Raw genomic sequence first — 15,780 nt, 5'->3', positions numbered from 1 at the left:
TATACATTTCTTGTTTGTTTGTTGTGCTTGGCATTCACTATTTTTGCTTGTTTGTGTGCATTAGTGCCTTTCACTGGTTTTAGAAAATCCTCACCCATTTTTCTTCAGATATTGCTTCTGTTCTGTTCTCTTTCCTCTCCTTGTAGAACTCTGTTAAACATTATTAATCCCCTCACTCTATTACCCATCTATTTTAACTTTTCTTCTACTTAAAAAAAATCTTTGTGATGCACTCTGGGCAAATTCTTCAGAACTCTCTTCTATTCACTAATTTTCAGAACTTTCTTCTACTCACTAATTTTCTCTTTATCTTTGTGTGATCTGCTCTCAAATATACCTATGAGGTTTTAATATTGTTATATATTTTTACATCCCTTGCAGTTATAAAGTCACTTCTTACCCAAACATTTTTGATCATTCTCTATCATTTTCTATTTCCTGGTGATATTGTAAATTTTATTCTTTTATTTCTTTAAACGGAGTAAGCACACTATTTGTCTGACACTTCCAGTATGTGAGGTCTCCACTGTTTTGTTGTTGTTGTTGTTGTTGTTGTTGTTGTTGTTGTTGTTTTCTGGCCATTATTTCCACCAGTTCTTGCTCAAGGTGTCTTGTTTCATTAACTGTGGAATGCTTATTTTCCTTGGAAAATTATTTGTGGGGGATTTTTGAGGTCTAGGATAAAGATGCATTTCTTGAGAGAATGTGAATTTGCTTTTTCCAGGTACCTGACCACACTACCAGTCTGAGGCATTTTAAAATAAATTCATGATTCAAGCTTTTTCTTTTCTTTTTTCCCACTTGGGTATGCGAATTTGGGTTGCAATTCCACTCAAGAGCTTATTTATGATTATTACTTCTCAGGGATGTATGAGCCTTTCATCAGTAACTTTCTCAATGCCAAGATGTTTCTTTGAAGTCCTCTGAGATGAGAGATGTAAGGCAGGTTTACTTCTAGTATATGGTTACACAGAGGCTATAGCTCTTTGAAGTACCAGCTTTATGTCCATAGTAACTCTAATTAGATTTCCCACCTTGAGTAATTTTGGTAAGCTGCAAGCCTGGGAAACTAAAGCTTACAATTTTCCAGGCTTGATAAATGTTTGGGTGTCCTGCACATTTACTTATTGAGACAACTTAGATACCACATTATACACCCATTGTGTGTACAATTTAGTGATTTTTAGTATATTTACAAAACTATGCAGCCGTCAGCACAAACCAGTAAAGGTAAGTAAAGTTGGTTGATAGTGCTGTTCAAATCTTCTAAAACCTTGCTGATACTCAGTCTAATCCTATCAATTCTTGATAGTAGTATAAATCTCCATTGATGATTGTTTGACTATTTTTCATGTCATTTTTTTTTTTTTCTGTACTCCTGAGCGGAGTCTTGCTCTGTCACCTAGGCTAGAATGCAGTGGCATGATCTCAGCTCACTGCAACTTCTGTCTCCCGGGTTCAAGAGATTCTCCTGCCACAGCCTCCCAAGTGGCTGGGACTATAGGCATATGCCACCATACCCGGCTAACTTTTGTATTTTTAGTAGAGACAGGGTTTCACCACATTGGCCACTCTGGTGTTGAACTTCTGACCTCAAGTGATCCGCCTACCTCGGCCTCCCAAAGTGCTGAGATTACAGGCATGAGCCACCATGCCCAGCCTCATCTCAGGTTTTGCTTCATGTATTTTAGGTCTCTCTTTTTAGGTATGACACGTTTATAATTGATATATTTTCCTGATATTATTGGCAATTTTATTATCATGAAATTTTCCTGTTTGTCTGTAGTAAAAGTTCTACTCTATTTTGTCTGATGATATAGTCACTGCACCTCTCTTAATATTACTTTTTGCATTTTATGTCTTTATTATAAAATGATAGTAAATATTTGTGTATTTGAGTACAAAATGTGTCTCTTATAGAGAGCATATATTTGATTTTAATTTCTTATTCAGTATGAAAATCTTTGCCTTTTGATTAGCGTGTTTGGTCCATTCCCTTTTGATGTAATTTTTGATAATGACTGGCTATACATCTGCCATTTTGCTACTTATTTTCTATGTCTTGTAACTTTTTTTCTGTTCCTCCTTTGCTGCCCTCTCTTGTATTTAACACATTTTTAAGTGCATCATTTTCTTTTGTAACTTTCTTTGAGCAGGCGGCTCACTATATTGCCCAGGCTGGTCTTGAACTCTTGGGCTCAAGTGATCCTCCCACCTCAGCCTTCCAAGTAGCTGGGATTACAGGTGCATGCCACTGTGCCTGGCTTCTTTAGTTGACTTTTAAACTATTTTTTAAAATCTCAGTGGTTGCTCTAAAATTCTAACATGTATTTTACTTTATCATCCTCTATTTTAGGTTAATACTGAGTTGATTTCATTACAAACAGCAACTTTGTTCCAAAATAACCCCATTTTCTCCTCCTCTACTCTCTGATATTGTCATATATATTACATCTGCATATGTGAAAAACCCAACTATATAGTATCACAATTGCTGCTTTACAGATGGTCCCCAACTTAATGATGGTTTGGGCATTTCAACTTAGGACATTTCAACTTCATGATGGGCTTATCAGGGTATAAAATACATTTTTTACTTTCTATATTTTCAACCTATGATGGGTTTTTATTGGAACATAATGCCACTGTAAATTGAGGAGCATCTGTATTCTTTTATATCTTTTAAATAAATTAAGAGAAGAAAAAAGAAAAACACGTCCTATGCAGCCCTTTATATTTCCTTATATATTTACCATTTATTGTGCTATTCATTTCTTCCTGTGGACACAGGTTACTGTCTAGCATCACCTCCGTTCTGTCTGAAGGATTTTAGTGTTCTTTTAGTATTTCTTGTAAGTCTGCTAGCCACATATTATCTCCATCTTTAGTCATCTGGGATGTCTATTTCACCTTAAGTTTTGAAGCACAGTTTTCCTGGATACAGAATTCTTGATTGATCAGTTTTTTTTCTTGTAACACTTTGAATATAATATTCCACTGCCTAGTTGCCTCTATTGTTTCTGGTAAGTCTCATCTGTTAAGTATACTCTTGTTTCCTTCTACATGATACGGCGTTTTACCTTGCTGCTTTTAAGAATTTTCTGTCTTTAGTAGTTCTTCTGTTATGTATTTAGGTGAGGATCTCTGGGAATTTATCCTACATGAGGTCTGATAAACTTCTTTGCTCTGTAGATTAATGTTTCCCCATCAAATTTCAGAAATTTTTGACTATTACTTCTCTCTCTCATTTCCTTTTGGGATTCCCATTAAACATCTGTTCATAGGTTTGATATTCCATCTGACTCTGAGCCCTGCTAATTTTTCTCCAATTTTTTCTCTCTTCTTCAGATTATATAATCTCTATAGATTTCAAGTTCATTGATTCTTTCTTCTAACATATCAAAAGTGCTCCTGAGCCCCTTCAGGGCATTTTTATTTGGTTTATTTTACTTCACAAGTTTAACATTTCCACTGGTTCTTTTAGATAATTTCTATTCTTTATCAATATCAAAGTGGACTCATGGTCATATTTTCCTTTAATTCTTTAAAATTGGTGTTCATTAATTCTTTGAACATATATTTGATAGTCACTTTGAAGACTTTGCCTTTGCCTCCTAAATCCAACATCCAGGCTCACTCAGAGACAACTTTTATTGAATACTTCTGCACCACCCCCACCCCCAAATGGGTTATGCTTTTCTGTTTCTTTTCCTTTGCTTGTGTTGTGATTTTTTGTTGGTACTGGGCATTATGGATAATATATTGTGGCAACTTTTTATCCTGATTTTATTGTTTTCCTTGAGGGTTTCTTTCTTTTCCGTTTTTTGACTGCCTTTTTGTTGTTGTTTTTAACTAATTTACCTAAACGGAACATGCCTCTTCTACTGTTTGCGGCAGTTTCCCCTCTGTTTTCAGAAATTATCATTTTTATATTTTAGCCTATGAGTTACCCTTATTTCTGCATAGCTTAGTCTCTGTCAATGACTGGTGGTTGTAGTCAAACACCAGTAAGTCTTCCACTGTCTCCTGGTGGATCTGCATGGGAGTACCTTAAAAGTTCAAATAGTTTCCAAGTCTGCTATGACATTTACCTTCTGCCTGGTCCTCTTGGATCTGCTCTCTACATGTGCTCAACCTACTAGTCATCTAGGAATGTGTGGAGAGCTTGGGCTGTCTATGGCGCTGCATGTTTATGCAGCTTTCTTGGCCTCCAGGGAATGAGTTTCTCAAGTCTCTCTGTGACTTTCTGATTTCCAGGATCTTCCTGTTAAATTTCTGGCCAGTTCTTTTGTGGGCTGTTGTACCAACCAGGACTAAGATCTCAGCCTAGGAGAACTGTAGGCTTTTCCTATTTTCCACTGTGAGTGTGGTTTTTCCACCCTCTACTCACAAACATGTCAGCCCCCTTTGGCAAAAAAAAGCTGCTAGTTTTTGTAGCCAGCCCCACTCTAGCAGTATTACCATGTTGAATGAGCTGGGGTGAGGAACAGCACCTCAGGAGAGAATGCTACAGACTGCCTGAAGTCTTACTTCAAGCTCAGTATTGTTTTTAAATAAAGAAACTATTCTCAATTTGTTATTTATGATTGATTTCTAGAGATCTAAAATGGTAGTTTTTGACAAATTTGCCTGGTTTTGTTTTATTTTATTTTTAAGTATAGAATGTTGACTTTTTCCGTTCTTCATAGTTGGAAATCTGCTTTCATTTGGCTTTTGGCCTGCTAAATTCTTACCGGCATGTCAGATCTTAAAAGGTTTCTAAAGATATGCTTTACAATGTTTTTAGGTTTTTCTCAGTCAGAGGATGAGTCTCGATATCTAGCCAACTATATAGAAGACAGTTAATAATTTATCTGCTTTTATGACTATTAAGTGAAACTTTAAGCAAAGAATTTAGCAAAGTCTCTGTAACAAAGGGGCTCAATAAACAGAATTTACAATATCTGAACACTTACATTGTAGGAATTATACTTATATTATCTTAATATCTCAAAGAGGTAGGCAATCCCATTTCAATATTAGCAATAGCAACATAAAAAGATTTACCAGACCAAGAATATATAGGTAGTATGTCAGGATTTCAATCCAAATATACTCAACTCCAAAGCTAGTGTCTTCCCTACTTTACCATGCTGCCTTCCTGGTGAAGGAGGTTTCAGTGGCTGCTTTTTGGGAGATACCCTGTAGACTATCTAGGACATAGTAAGAAATTAAATCCATTATAGGGATTAGAAAGAGGGCTTATTGTTATACTAATTGACAGTGACCCAAAACACAGTGGAGGTACATATAGATTCCTAAAAGCAGACAGGGCTTTTGCTAAGATAATGTGAATGACTGAAAGTAATAAGGTTTTAGGGTTCTATATGATAGTTGCCCGAATTCCAATTATATATACAGTGAACAATTAAATATGAACTAAGACTACTACAAAAATGCCTAAACAACTGAACTACATTCTATTTCAAAGTTTATAAATATATTTGGGAATTAAGTAGCAAATGCTGAGGAAGATGACCCTTTTGGGCTGAATCTTACAGGGTGGTAAAGCTCACTGGGGTGATCATGAATCTGTTCTCCAGTTCTGAATATTCAAAAACTAGAGTGTAAGCTACTGTAAAAACCTTCCTAATTAGTCTCTCCACTTCCAGTTTCTTCTTCTCTTTGCTGTGTTCTTTATATGCTTATCTCACAAGTTTTTCTAAAACATTCTTTAATGGTGTTGCTTCTGTGTGGTTTCTTACTGTTCACTAGTATTTCCTTAATTCTTCATCCAAAGGCCTCTATAATCTGCTTCTCAGTTTACTACTCAGCTCTTTCTCTCAGAACTCCCTGTCCCTGGTGGACTCATTTACCTTCTTTTATCCTCTACTCTCACCACTTTCATTCTCACCTCCAAACCACTGCTTATTCCATTCTCCTTCTTTGTTCTTTTTTGCCCCCTCCCATTGCACCTTTTCCTGGAGCATGCTCTTTTCTAGATTTCATCCACTCAAATCTTACAAGTTCTTTTAAATCTACCTCCTTTCATTCATTCAATGGACAGTGTCCATGCCATGAAGTGTAAGCTCCCACGAGTGCCTTTCCCATGTAGTTTATCAAACAATATATTATCATTTAAATTCCACATCTAGCCTCGTTGTGGCTCCACTTTAGGGGGAAATCTCATTCTGGTCCAATGGATATATCACTTTTATCCCACTTTTGGCTGCCCCCAACTGTAATATGTTTAGTAGACAGGCCCTTCATCCCCTTGAGTGATACATCTATCCTAGGTGATCTATCATAGGTTAGGGATTGTCTCTTCTGGGCCTGTGACATAGTATATGGTTATAACAAAGTAAGAAATATATATCAAGAGAAAAAACTTAATTATAAGTGAATCTCATAACTGAGGTAGTCATAAATTATGTTGTGTAATATTCTTGTTATTAAAATCATAAAATAACTACTAATGCTTGAGTGCATTAATTATTTTGCTTCATGCTGTGCAAACAGCTAAGAGATAATGGCCTCCCTTCAGTAAAAAAAAAATCATCATGATAATACTTTCTATTTAAATGCTTAGTTTGCTTCCATTCCCTATTTCATATTTCTTCCTTGCCATTTCTTTGCTATCCATCATCTTCCCCATGTTTTTCCTGTTAGCCATCAATGCAGATTGGATGAAATAAAGAATTGGCATAGGTATCATTTCATCAGTCCAGTCAACCTCCCTGCCTCATTGTTTCTTTCCCATACTTAGGGAGGTGAGGGAAGGTGATAGAGAATAATGTTAGGCAGATGGAATGTACTTAAAAGAGCTAAGGACTTAACAAAACAGGAAAAATCAAGGAATGGAGAAGGATAGGGGATACATAGGGGATGTTGTGGAATTGTTTTTACCCATCTTAGTGGAACTGAAGTCTTTTACCAATTCTTGTTAGTTATGGTTAGTACAAGACCATACATATAAGAAGTACAAGACACACATAAGAAAAAAGTGCATTCAAATGAAAATTGTTTGATAACACCTCTCTAGAAATTTGGTGGGTTAGGCAAAATGAGGATTGGCACAATCTGTGGCACAGTCTTACCTATAGTGGCTTTCTCTTCTAATGGCACAGATCCATCACAGTTGGTGCAAAGCCCACATTTCATTGACTAAAAGTGACCAAAGGCCTATTCCTATTTCAAAGTATATTACTTGGTAGTATATATAAGGATGTATCATTATTGTTTTTACATTCCAAGGCACTTGTAAATGCCATAAAAATAATTTTGCTCTCAATATGTCAATGGACTTCCTTTAATCTTATTTGACTGTACTCTAGAAAACAAGAAATAAAAGACAAAGTTCAGCTAGTTGTATATAAATTTGAACTGGAATACAAGTGCAAAGGAGAACGTTTCATTTTTGCTGAGGCAAACTGCTGAGGAAAATAAAAGTAGTTATACTGTTAGCAATCTGCTTCTTCTTACCCAAAACATAAATCTCACTGTTGACTACAGCTGTACTGAATCGGTACTTAGAGTACTTCATGGGTGCCCGCACACTCCATTGATCTTGGCTGGGGTCATACTGCAACAGTTTGTTGCTTAATCGATCAGGTTCTTCATCAGGAAGATCCATCTGTATGAAATATGACAGCCAATATAATAACATATCATTTAGCAATCTTTGTGAGTACATGAATGCAATTAATCAAAGCAGACAGCCAAGGAGATAAATAGAGGTTAACTGCAGTGACTCATACTCACAAACACACCAAACCCCATGACGGGGGTTATAAGTATACTGTCAATATCAGAGGAATTTATATTCTGAAATAATGGGCCAAAGGTGCATGGTTATAGCAAACAATTTGTGATCTTAGCAGTGAGACATTCATTACAGCTTTTTTTTTTTTAAAGAAGCAACTGCAAAGCCTTAAAAACAAAACCAAGCTCTCTTGAATAGTATTTAAAGTGTAATTCTATTTTACCAAACTTTATAGTAGTTGATTTTAATATTTGTGAGAAACTAATTTTAATAATTTAGAAGGCATTTTCTTTATATTTTTCTAATCCACATGAAACAAAGTTGCCAAAACATTGTAGTGTCTTCATAATTATTTTTACACCATAATTATGGCCTATATAGGAATGGTGTAAATTCAATTTTCAAGATTTATTGACTAATATAAATTATTTGCAGTTATTTTAACATACTTATTTTATATATTTTTAATGACTAGAGAAGGTACAAATTAAACAACCTTTTCTTACACAGATGTGGCTTTTCCTATTCATAAATGTTAGGTGAAATAATATTTTTTGTATACATGTATGTGGAACTTAATATGACTTCAAGCTAAGGATTCATGAGTGCCATTTTTTTGGGATACAAGTGTTCAACAAAGAAATAACTGGCATACTTATGAAAGTTTATGCAATTAATTTTAGTTAACCACTTTAAATATACCAAGAGTTATGCTCACCATGGCACACGCACAACCCTGTGTGATCTTGCAATTGTTATACAAGGTACTCAATCGGGTAGCAAAGCCTTTCCTCTATGAGGTAAACGTTCATGTTATCTGTTCAGAAACTTTATAAATTAACAAACGTTGACTTTATGGTTTTAATTTTCCTTCTAATTTAAGTATTTAATCTCTATTTTAGTGAAAAAATGCAAAGAAAAGCCTCTAAGTTGTTTTTGGGGCTTATGCATGCAAAATTAACTATGTAAATGGATAGTTTTAAAAAAGTTTAATTACAAATAATCTGTCAGGTTTCTCCTGCTAGCTGTGATGAAATCTGTACTACTTTTTGACATATAGCAGAAAAAATTAAATGTGTTACATGTGAGGTTTAAGTTTTTAAAACAGGTATGATATACTATATATAAATGGCAAAATCCAAGCTTCTGGAATGAATGCAAATAGCATCAGTTTTATCATGAAGAAAACTTGGAGAAACAAAAAATAATACAGGCAAAAATAAATTTACTTTATGCCATGAGGATGACCAATGAGCTAGTGAGATTAATTTTTATTAGAAAGTCTGGCTGGCCAGGGCATGAGGCAGCTGAAGTGATCCTAAGAAGAGTGCTCCAAGGCACCAGGAGAGGACATCCGGAGGGGAGGGAGAAGGCCACCATGGCCACACACCCCTGACTTTTCACTTTGGTTTGCCATCACTTCACTGGGCTTCAATAGAAACAGCATTCTGGGTTCTCTGCCTGCTGATGCCCAATAAAAACATCAAGTGTTACAATCACAATATGCTTGCATAGAAACGATTGTGCCATCACAGATCGGTATTCTGGTGTCTCACTTAGAGTAAGAATTTTAAATATGGAAAAGGCCTATGAGTTACTTGCCTCAGGTCACAGAGCTATTAGACACACAGAACTGGATGAGGATCCAGCTTCTCTTCCTCCTAGTTAGATGCTCCCTACAGATAATCCCTCAGCACAAATATCTTTCATAATTAGCAAAAATGGGAGGATTATAAAGAGCACAGCATGAAAACTGAATCAAGTCATGTCTATGAAAACACACTTTAAAAATCCATTCTCCTAAATTGCTTTAACACTTTAAAACCTTGAGTTATATTCTATAAAACAGAAAGCATTTTACCAAAATGTAAGTCACACTCTTTTAGCATTCAACAACTACAACAATGTTTAACATAGCAGCCAGACTCAGTATAGCCATGCCAATTATGTATACAGGAAATTTCTTAACCTGAGGGGTCCAGCCTCCAATTACATAAAGTTTATTATTCACTGTCACTACAGCATGACATGCCAATTGCAGTGGAAGGGGAGACACCCTTTTCCAATTGTCCCGTTCTACAGAGTACTTATCAACACAGTTTGTAATAAGATACTGGTTTTTAATTTTCATCTGTCCTCCTATAACATAAAGGTCATTATGAATACTGCCCAGAGCATAGAGTTCTCGAAATTCAGCTGTGCATAACTTTTCCCAAAACTGGTTTCCTCTATCATGATACCTGCAAAAGAGAGAGAGAGTATCCAGGATTAGAGGTAACATGAAAGCAATTTACCCAAGAAATACACTTATTTATTTTCTGACCAAAAATAATGAGATATGGTTCTTCCAATTGGAGGACAAAAAACATTAATACAAGAAAATGACACAGGTTTGCTTTTTTTTTAAGGAATAATGAACAAAATATAATGTGCTTTAAAATAATTAGCCACATATACCTGAAGAGTTTTGGGGAAAATATAGAGAAAAAGTATAGATTTTCCAGGAGTAGCCTTCATTTTCTAATTCTGGGAAAGAAAATCAAGAATGGATAGAAAGTTTTTAAGCAAATCATTTTTAATTTTACCATAAAAGTAAGCAAAAATACAAGAATGCCTTATTCTGTGGACAAGAAATATCACTTTCATACGAACATTAAAGAAATCACAGTTTTAGGGCAGAGAATCTAAAAACATCTCAATTCACAAATTTCTCTCAGGATGATTTAGAATATGTAGAATTTTAAGAACTGTTGTAGTTCCAACTGGCTTACAACTGGGTCAAGAGCACTGTATAAAAACCTACCTGTAGATGTCTGCTGGGCACTTAACATCTATTTTAATCTACTAGATGTGGCAATTTCAGTAATTTCTTCCAGAGTATCACTCTAAGAGTCTTAAGAACTAGGGACATTAGTATATATGGTCTCTCAATGCCTTCTAGAGTCCAACACATTAACTGATTATGTGTGTGATGGGGCATTGTATGGTCACTGGGTAGATGAGTTTGTGGCTATTCTTTGTCTTGCATCATGATTATGATAAGTCTTTATCTCCAATCATGATTGAAGATACACAGTCTGAGAAGGACAGAAGTACTTCATGGGGTTGGTCAGAGGGGTAAAATATGTGAAATTAAATGTCCCAGAAAATCCAGAAAGTATATCTGGAATTCAAAATTAAACACACACACACAAAAAAACAGGAAAACATGGAAATTAAGAAAAAAGTTGTTCTGTTTGGAAACAAATTAGGAACTTATGTGTGTTTTATACAGAGTACAATTTTTAAGTATAGACGACTTATTTTGCATTTAACACCTCACAGTTAATTCTATGGTAGGAGTTTTTTCCAGTTGTCTAGGCCAACTCTTAACGTTCTTTCCCAGAGAGACATCTTTACTTGAGGCTTGACAGGGCAGTTAGAAGGCATGCTCCTTTCTAAGAGGGTATGTCTGGCTTGTCACAGCTGAATGTAGAAATTTATCACGCCTTATGATGGCTGTCTTCTATGTAATTCTAGGCAGAGAACCAAAGTCTCTAGAATCACAGGCAATATTTTTGTCACTATTTTTAATTGTATGAATTTTAGAAAAGAAAGGAGGAATAGGTATCTGTAATATATGTGGGGGCTACCAAAGTAAAGCCAACTGAATTAATATATAAATGAACTTTAAAAAATGGGTTTGGGTTTTCTGAGACATAGTTAAAGAAAATAGGCTAGGAATGAAGTACATCCCATAAAGGTTAGAAAGTAGATGTTTGCTGGGTGACTTCCTAATCTGATTTTTGTTTTCACATTTAGAACTGAAACAGGGAGAGAAAATACCCAGATAAAACTCTAAAACTTAGTATTAAGTGGATATGACATAAAAAAGAAAACAATAGTGACAAAGGCCTTCATTGTTAATAGAGATTGATAGTTTAAAGACAAATGGAGATAAGTGAAGGAGATGGAAAGGTACATCTTTTTAAAAAATAAATAATCTTCCAGAGTACTAGTCTACTTCCTCTTTTAAGTCAAGAAGAAATATATCTGCATGGAAATCTATGAGTAGAGGCAAGCTGAAGAACATCTGGACAAAGATAAAAAGAATGAGATACACAAATAATATAACAGGGATGTAGCACAGGATGATAAATTTCTTATGCATATCACAAAACTGGCACTACAGTAACCTTCAGTAGTGCTAGGAGATTTTAACTACACAGAACATCAGCTGGAAGTCTCATTTAAGCCTAAAGCAATGCTTCTGACAATTTCATTATTGGAAGAAATGATGGGAGTAACTAATAACTTTTACTCTAACTCTGACCAATGTGGAGGGTGAGACGGTTGGTGATGGGAACCTGGTTGAGTTCAAGATAAACAGGAAGGAAAACATGGGGTATATAGTTAGACATTTGCTGTTAGAAAGGGAAATGGGCTCTCAATAAGTTAAAAGGAAAGACGTCTGAGGACCAAAACTGAAAGACACTTTGACAGGGTTGGAGGTTTACTAAAAATAAGATGTGATGGCAGAATTGTAGACTATCTTGAGGAGGAAGAAAAAAAACTATGTAAAGAACCTGAAGTACCAGGTCAAGAGATTCTAAGGTGGAAAGAAGGGCACCCAACCAAGAGCAAGTGTAAAACTGGTGGCATGGACCCCTGAGAACCACATCAGGAAGTCAAGGCTTCCTCTTCCTGTGGGGATCTGCTCTCCTGGCTCTGTAGTCTCTCCCTGATAATTCTGAAGAAGGCTGCTCCTGTGGCTCAGGGACATGCTTGGTACCCATGGGCACGGGTCTAGGTCACCCAGCCAGGGCTCTGCATTCTTTCTCCTACTAGGGGAGATTAGACACATCTTCAAAGTATGAATGTGGAAAAGGGACAGGACTATGGCTTGAGACAGATAATGTAATGCTAGGAGATGACAGACAAATAGTAGACCTCTTCATTCCCTCTTTAGTCCCATCTTTACTGCTAAGAATTACTTTCTGACTGAAATGTCTGAACAAACCATGGTAAAAGAGAACTGAGAGGAGAAAAATATTGGGGGAAAGTTTTACTATGTAGTATTTATTCCATGTGCATATTTCTAATTTTCTCACTTAGATTTAAGTGCTAAATACTCATTTAATACGGGCTGAATAAACAGTAAATAAACCTATTTGTTCTCATAAGCAAAACCTAGATGATATGCTACTTCTTAGCAGGCATTCTTTCCTCTTACTACAATTCTAGGATTAAAGCATTCTTCAACTACAAACATTTTACAGTGTTGGAGATTTAAGCAAAATCCACAAATTAAGGACATAGAATGAAAACTGACAGATTATTAGTAATTTATGGTTAAGGAAAAAATTACTTATTGCTCTAAATTACGAACTAAAAAAAAATTCAAAGGAGTCTGTTTTAATAAACTTTCCTTCTTGTTATATTAAGATCTTTAAAAACAAAGCAGTATATTAAACCCTATATATGGATAAATAAAGCTAAGATTGAAAACTAAAATGGGATCATAACAAACACATTTAACTTATGCAAATTCAACTATATGTTAACAAAGGAAGAGAAAAAATTTTAAAATGTGGGAGATTTAATTATGAAAGTTATATATATGCTACATTTATATTTTATATAATATACATTATATATTTATATATTTTTATATATGCTATATTTATGAGTTATAGATTATATATATATATAAATGTATACACACACACACAGACACACAAAAGCATGTTCTGTATACTATTCCTTATGGGAGATGTATAGGGTAATTTTGACTACAAATAATTTAAGATGTGATGACTTTTTGCAGTTCTTTCTTCTACTGCTGCTAGTATCAAAACAAAATAATTAAGCAAATTTGCTGCTAGATACAAACCTATAAATTTCAACATTCTTGTTCTTTTGTCTAGAGAGTTTAGAGGCACTTGCTTCTCCAGCCACAATTATAGTATTATTTTCCATGACAACACCAGTACACACAGTTCCTAAACCCTCTCCGTACTTGGGAGATGAGATGAAATAGGTTTTCCGTGATACAGGATCATAACAAAAACTGGCATCCCCATAGCTCCTATGTCTTGATCTGATTCCTGAAGAATTGTTGCCAATGCAAAGCAGAAGACTGGTAGTCTCCATACCATAGCGCAGATTTAGAGAGTGCTGTTGGGGTGTCTTGATGGCTTTGAATGCATTTTGAATTATGTCAACACAATCTGCATCACACAGAAGCATTGTGTTCCTTCTTAGGGCTTGTCTTAAAAAAGAAGGATTTACAAGTTCCAATCTGACTTGCTTCAAAAGCTCAACAAGATGCACTGTACGCAATTCTTTGTTATGATTTACCCATCTCAGAACTAAGTCCAGAATGCTCTCTTCTCTGGATATGTTAAGATCATCTGATTTAATAAGTGTCAAAAATTGGTGCACTTCGATTTCTAGTATTTCTTCATGTAAGCTCACCTCGGCAAAGTGCTGATATAAATATTTCTTTGATCGATCAGATAAATCTTCAGCTCCAATCTGCTTTGCAAAATAATAGATACCTAAACAGTTGGAGGCATCCATGTGGTCCATCATATATTTTTGACACACACTGAAGACTTCTTCCATCTGCATAAAATAGGCAGCCATAGCTACAGTCTGTACATTGGCATTATTGATCTCCAAAGCTGCATTGTACATGTAATTTAATAACACCGACACACTTTCTGCTGTGATGTCATAAAGTATGACTTCCCTTTGATTACATTCAAGTAGTCCACAGGTGAACATAGCTTTGAAATAAGGGCTAAATGCAGCCAGGACCAGTCTGTGGCAAGGAAATTTCTCTCCTTCTGCTGTGAGTACCACATCAATCATTTCTGCTAATTCTTTCATGTTCTGAATTTTATTCAGTAAATTCAAGCTATGTTGGTATTTTTCTTTTCCCTCAATCTTGCACTCCATGATCTACTCTCCAAAGTTTCCAACTAAGTCTTCTTTAAGTGTAGCTTGATTCCTGAGGGGCTATTTGCATGTCTGATTACTCATGAAGCTACAAAGATGTCAGGAAACATTTCTAAGGGAAAGAAAAAAGGCAGTTTCCTTCTAAGAAAAAATTCTCTATAATTTAGATATGCAGCATTAGTTCTAAAAAAAGTATTTATAAACAGATATTATTCACTCCAAGCAGAGCAGTTTAAGACAACTACTTTTGTATCTAAAAATATTAATTTTGATTACGTAAACAGTAATAAATTAACTGCTGTGACAAATTCTCCTAATCAGTGGCAGAGATTTTTCTAGGACTGCAAAGATTTCCCTCCCAACATGTATAGAAAGAGAAGTGATAAGCTGGGCACATTTTGCAATTCCATTTCCAGTTACCAAATACAGCTGACCTGCAGGCAGAGGGTATAGGGGCATCAGTTAATATTCTCTCCAAGGAGATGCAAAATCACCCCAAAGGTTATATGCATCCCCTCCAAAAAATACACCGAACTGTTATAATAGTCAGTCCATAAATTCATGACTGGGGCCTTGTACAATATACCCTGGAAGAGGAAAAACTGAAAAAAGGTCCACTAAAATTCTGCTCAAACTTTGATGTGGGACAAATAATTCAAAGCAGTAGATAACACAAAGATTATATCTACTGGGCTTTGGAAGGCACTACCAAATGTCAGCTGATCTGAAAAGTCACAATATTTAAAATATACAACTAAATTACCCTAAACTTAGAAAATGCCTAAAACTATATGATTTCTCTGTCCTCCCTCCTTGCTCAGCTTTTATTTTTTCCCCAATTCATAGTGGCAGAGACTGAATCTCTCTTCACCTTAAAAAGCATTAGTCTAAATTTTTTAAAGTTAGCTGTCTCATCTTCACCTTCCCTGGATAAATGGAAATGGGATGTTTCAAGGAAGTTAATTTAAATTAGCGTTTGTTTTAAAGAAGGACATTCCTAGAGTCAGAAACCTTAATGTTAGAAGAGGATCTCAAGTCTCTACCACCTTTTCCAGTTCTAACTTGGCTGTAAGTTGCAAGCAGTGAGAATAACATTG

At 35.4% G+C, this 15,780-nt stretch overlaps 1 protein-coding gene and 1 long non-coding RNA gene across 6 annotated transcripts in view; one reads left to right on the top strand and one right to left on the bottom strand.

The window, feature by feature from the left end:
- KBTBD12 (kelch repeat and BTB domain containing 12) overlaps positions 1-15,780 on the bottom strand; it is a 72,446-nt gene that overhangs the window by 49,933 nt on the left and 6,733 nt on the right. For all 5 annotated transcript variants that reach the window (NM_001370224.1, NM_207335.4, XM_047447589.1 and 2 more), the window contains exons 2-4: positions 13,614-14,795; positions 9,711-9,981; positions 7,462-7,612 (exon numbers count right to left, since the gene is read on the bottom strand). In NM_001370224.1, coding sequence (NP_001357153.1) covers positions 7,462-7,612; positions 9,711-9,981; positions 13,614-14,683 — 1,492 coding nt within the window. In that variant the 5' untranslated portion in view covers positions 14,684-14,795. The remainder of the gene's footprint in view (positions 1-7,461; positions 7,613-9,710; positions 9,982-13,613; positions 14,796-15,780) is intronic.
- The window catches only part of LOC107986129 (uncharacterized), a 90,956-nt gene continuing 89,670 nt past the window's right edge, over positions 14,495-15,780 (top strand). The window contains exon 1 of the long non-coding RNA XR_001740896.2: positions 14,495-14,576. This is a non-coding gene — a long non-coding RNA (uncharacterized LOC107986129). The remainder of the gene's footprint in view (positions 14,577-15,780) is intronic.

The sequence above is a fragment of the Homo sapiens genome, chromosome 3 (assembly GCF_000001405.40).
Source record: "Homo sapiens chromosome 3, GRCh38.p14 Primary Assembly".
NCBI classification, from domain to species: domain Eukaryota; kingdom Metazoa; phylum Chordata; class Mammalia; order Primates; family Hominidae; genus Homo; species Homo sapiens.
The sequence above is the reverse complement of the archived record's forward strand: the minus strand, read 5'-3'. Positions and strand labels throughout refer to the sequence as shown.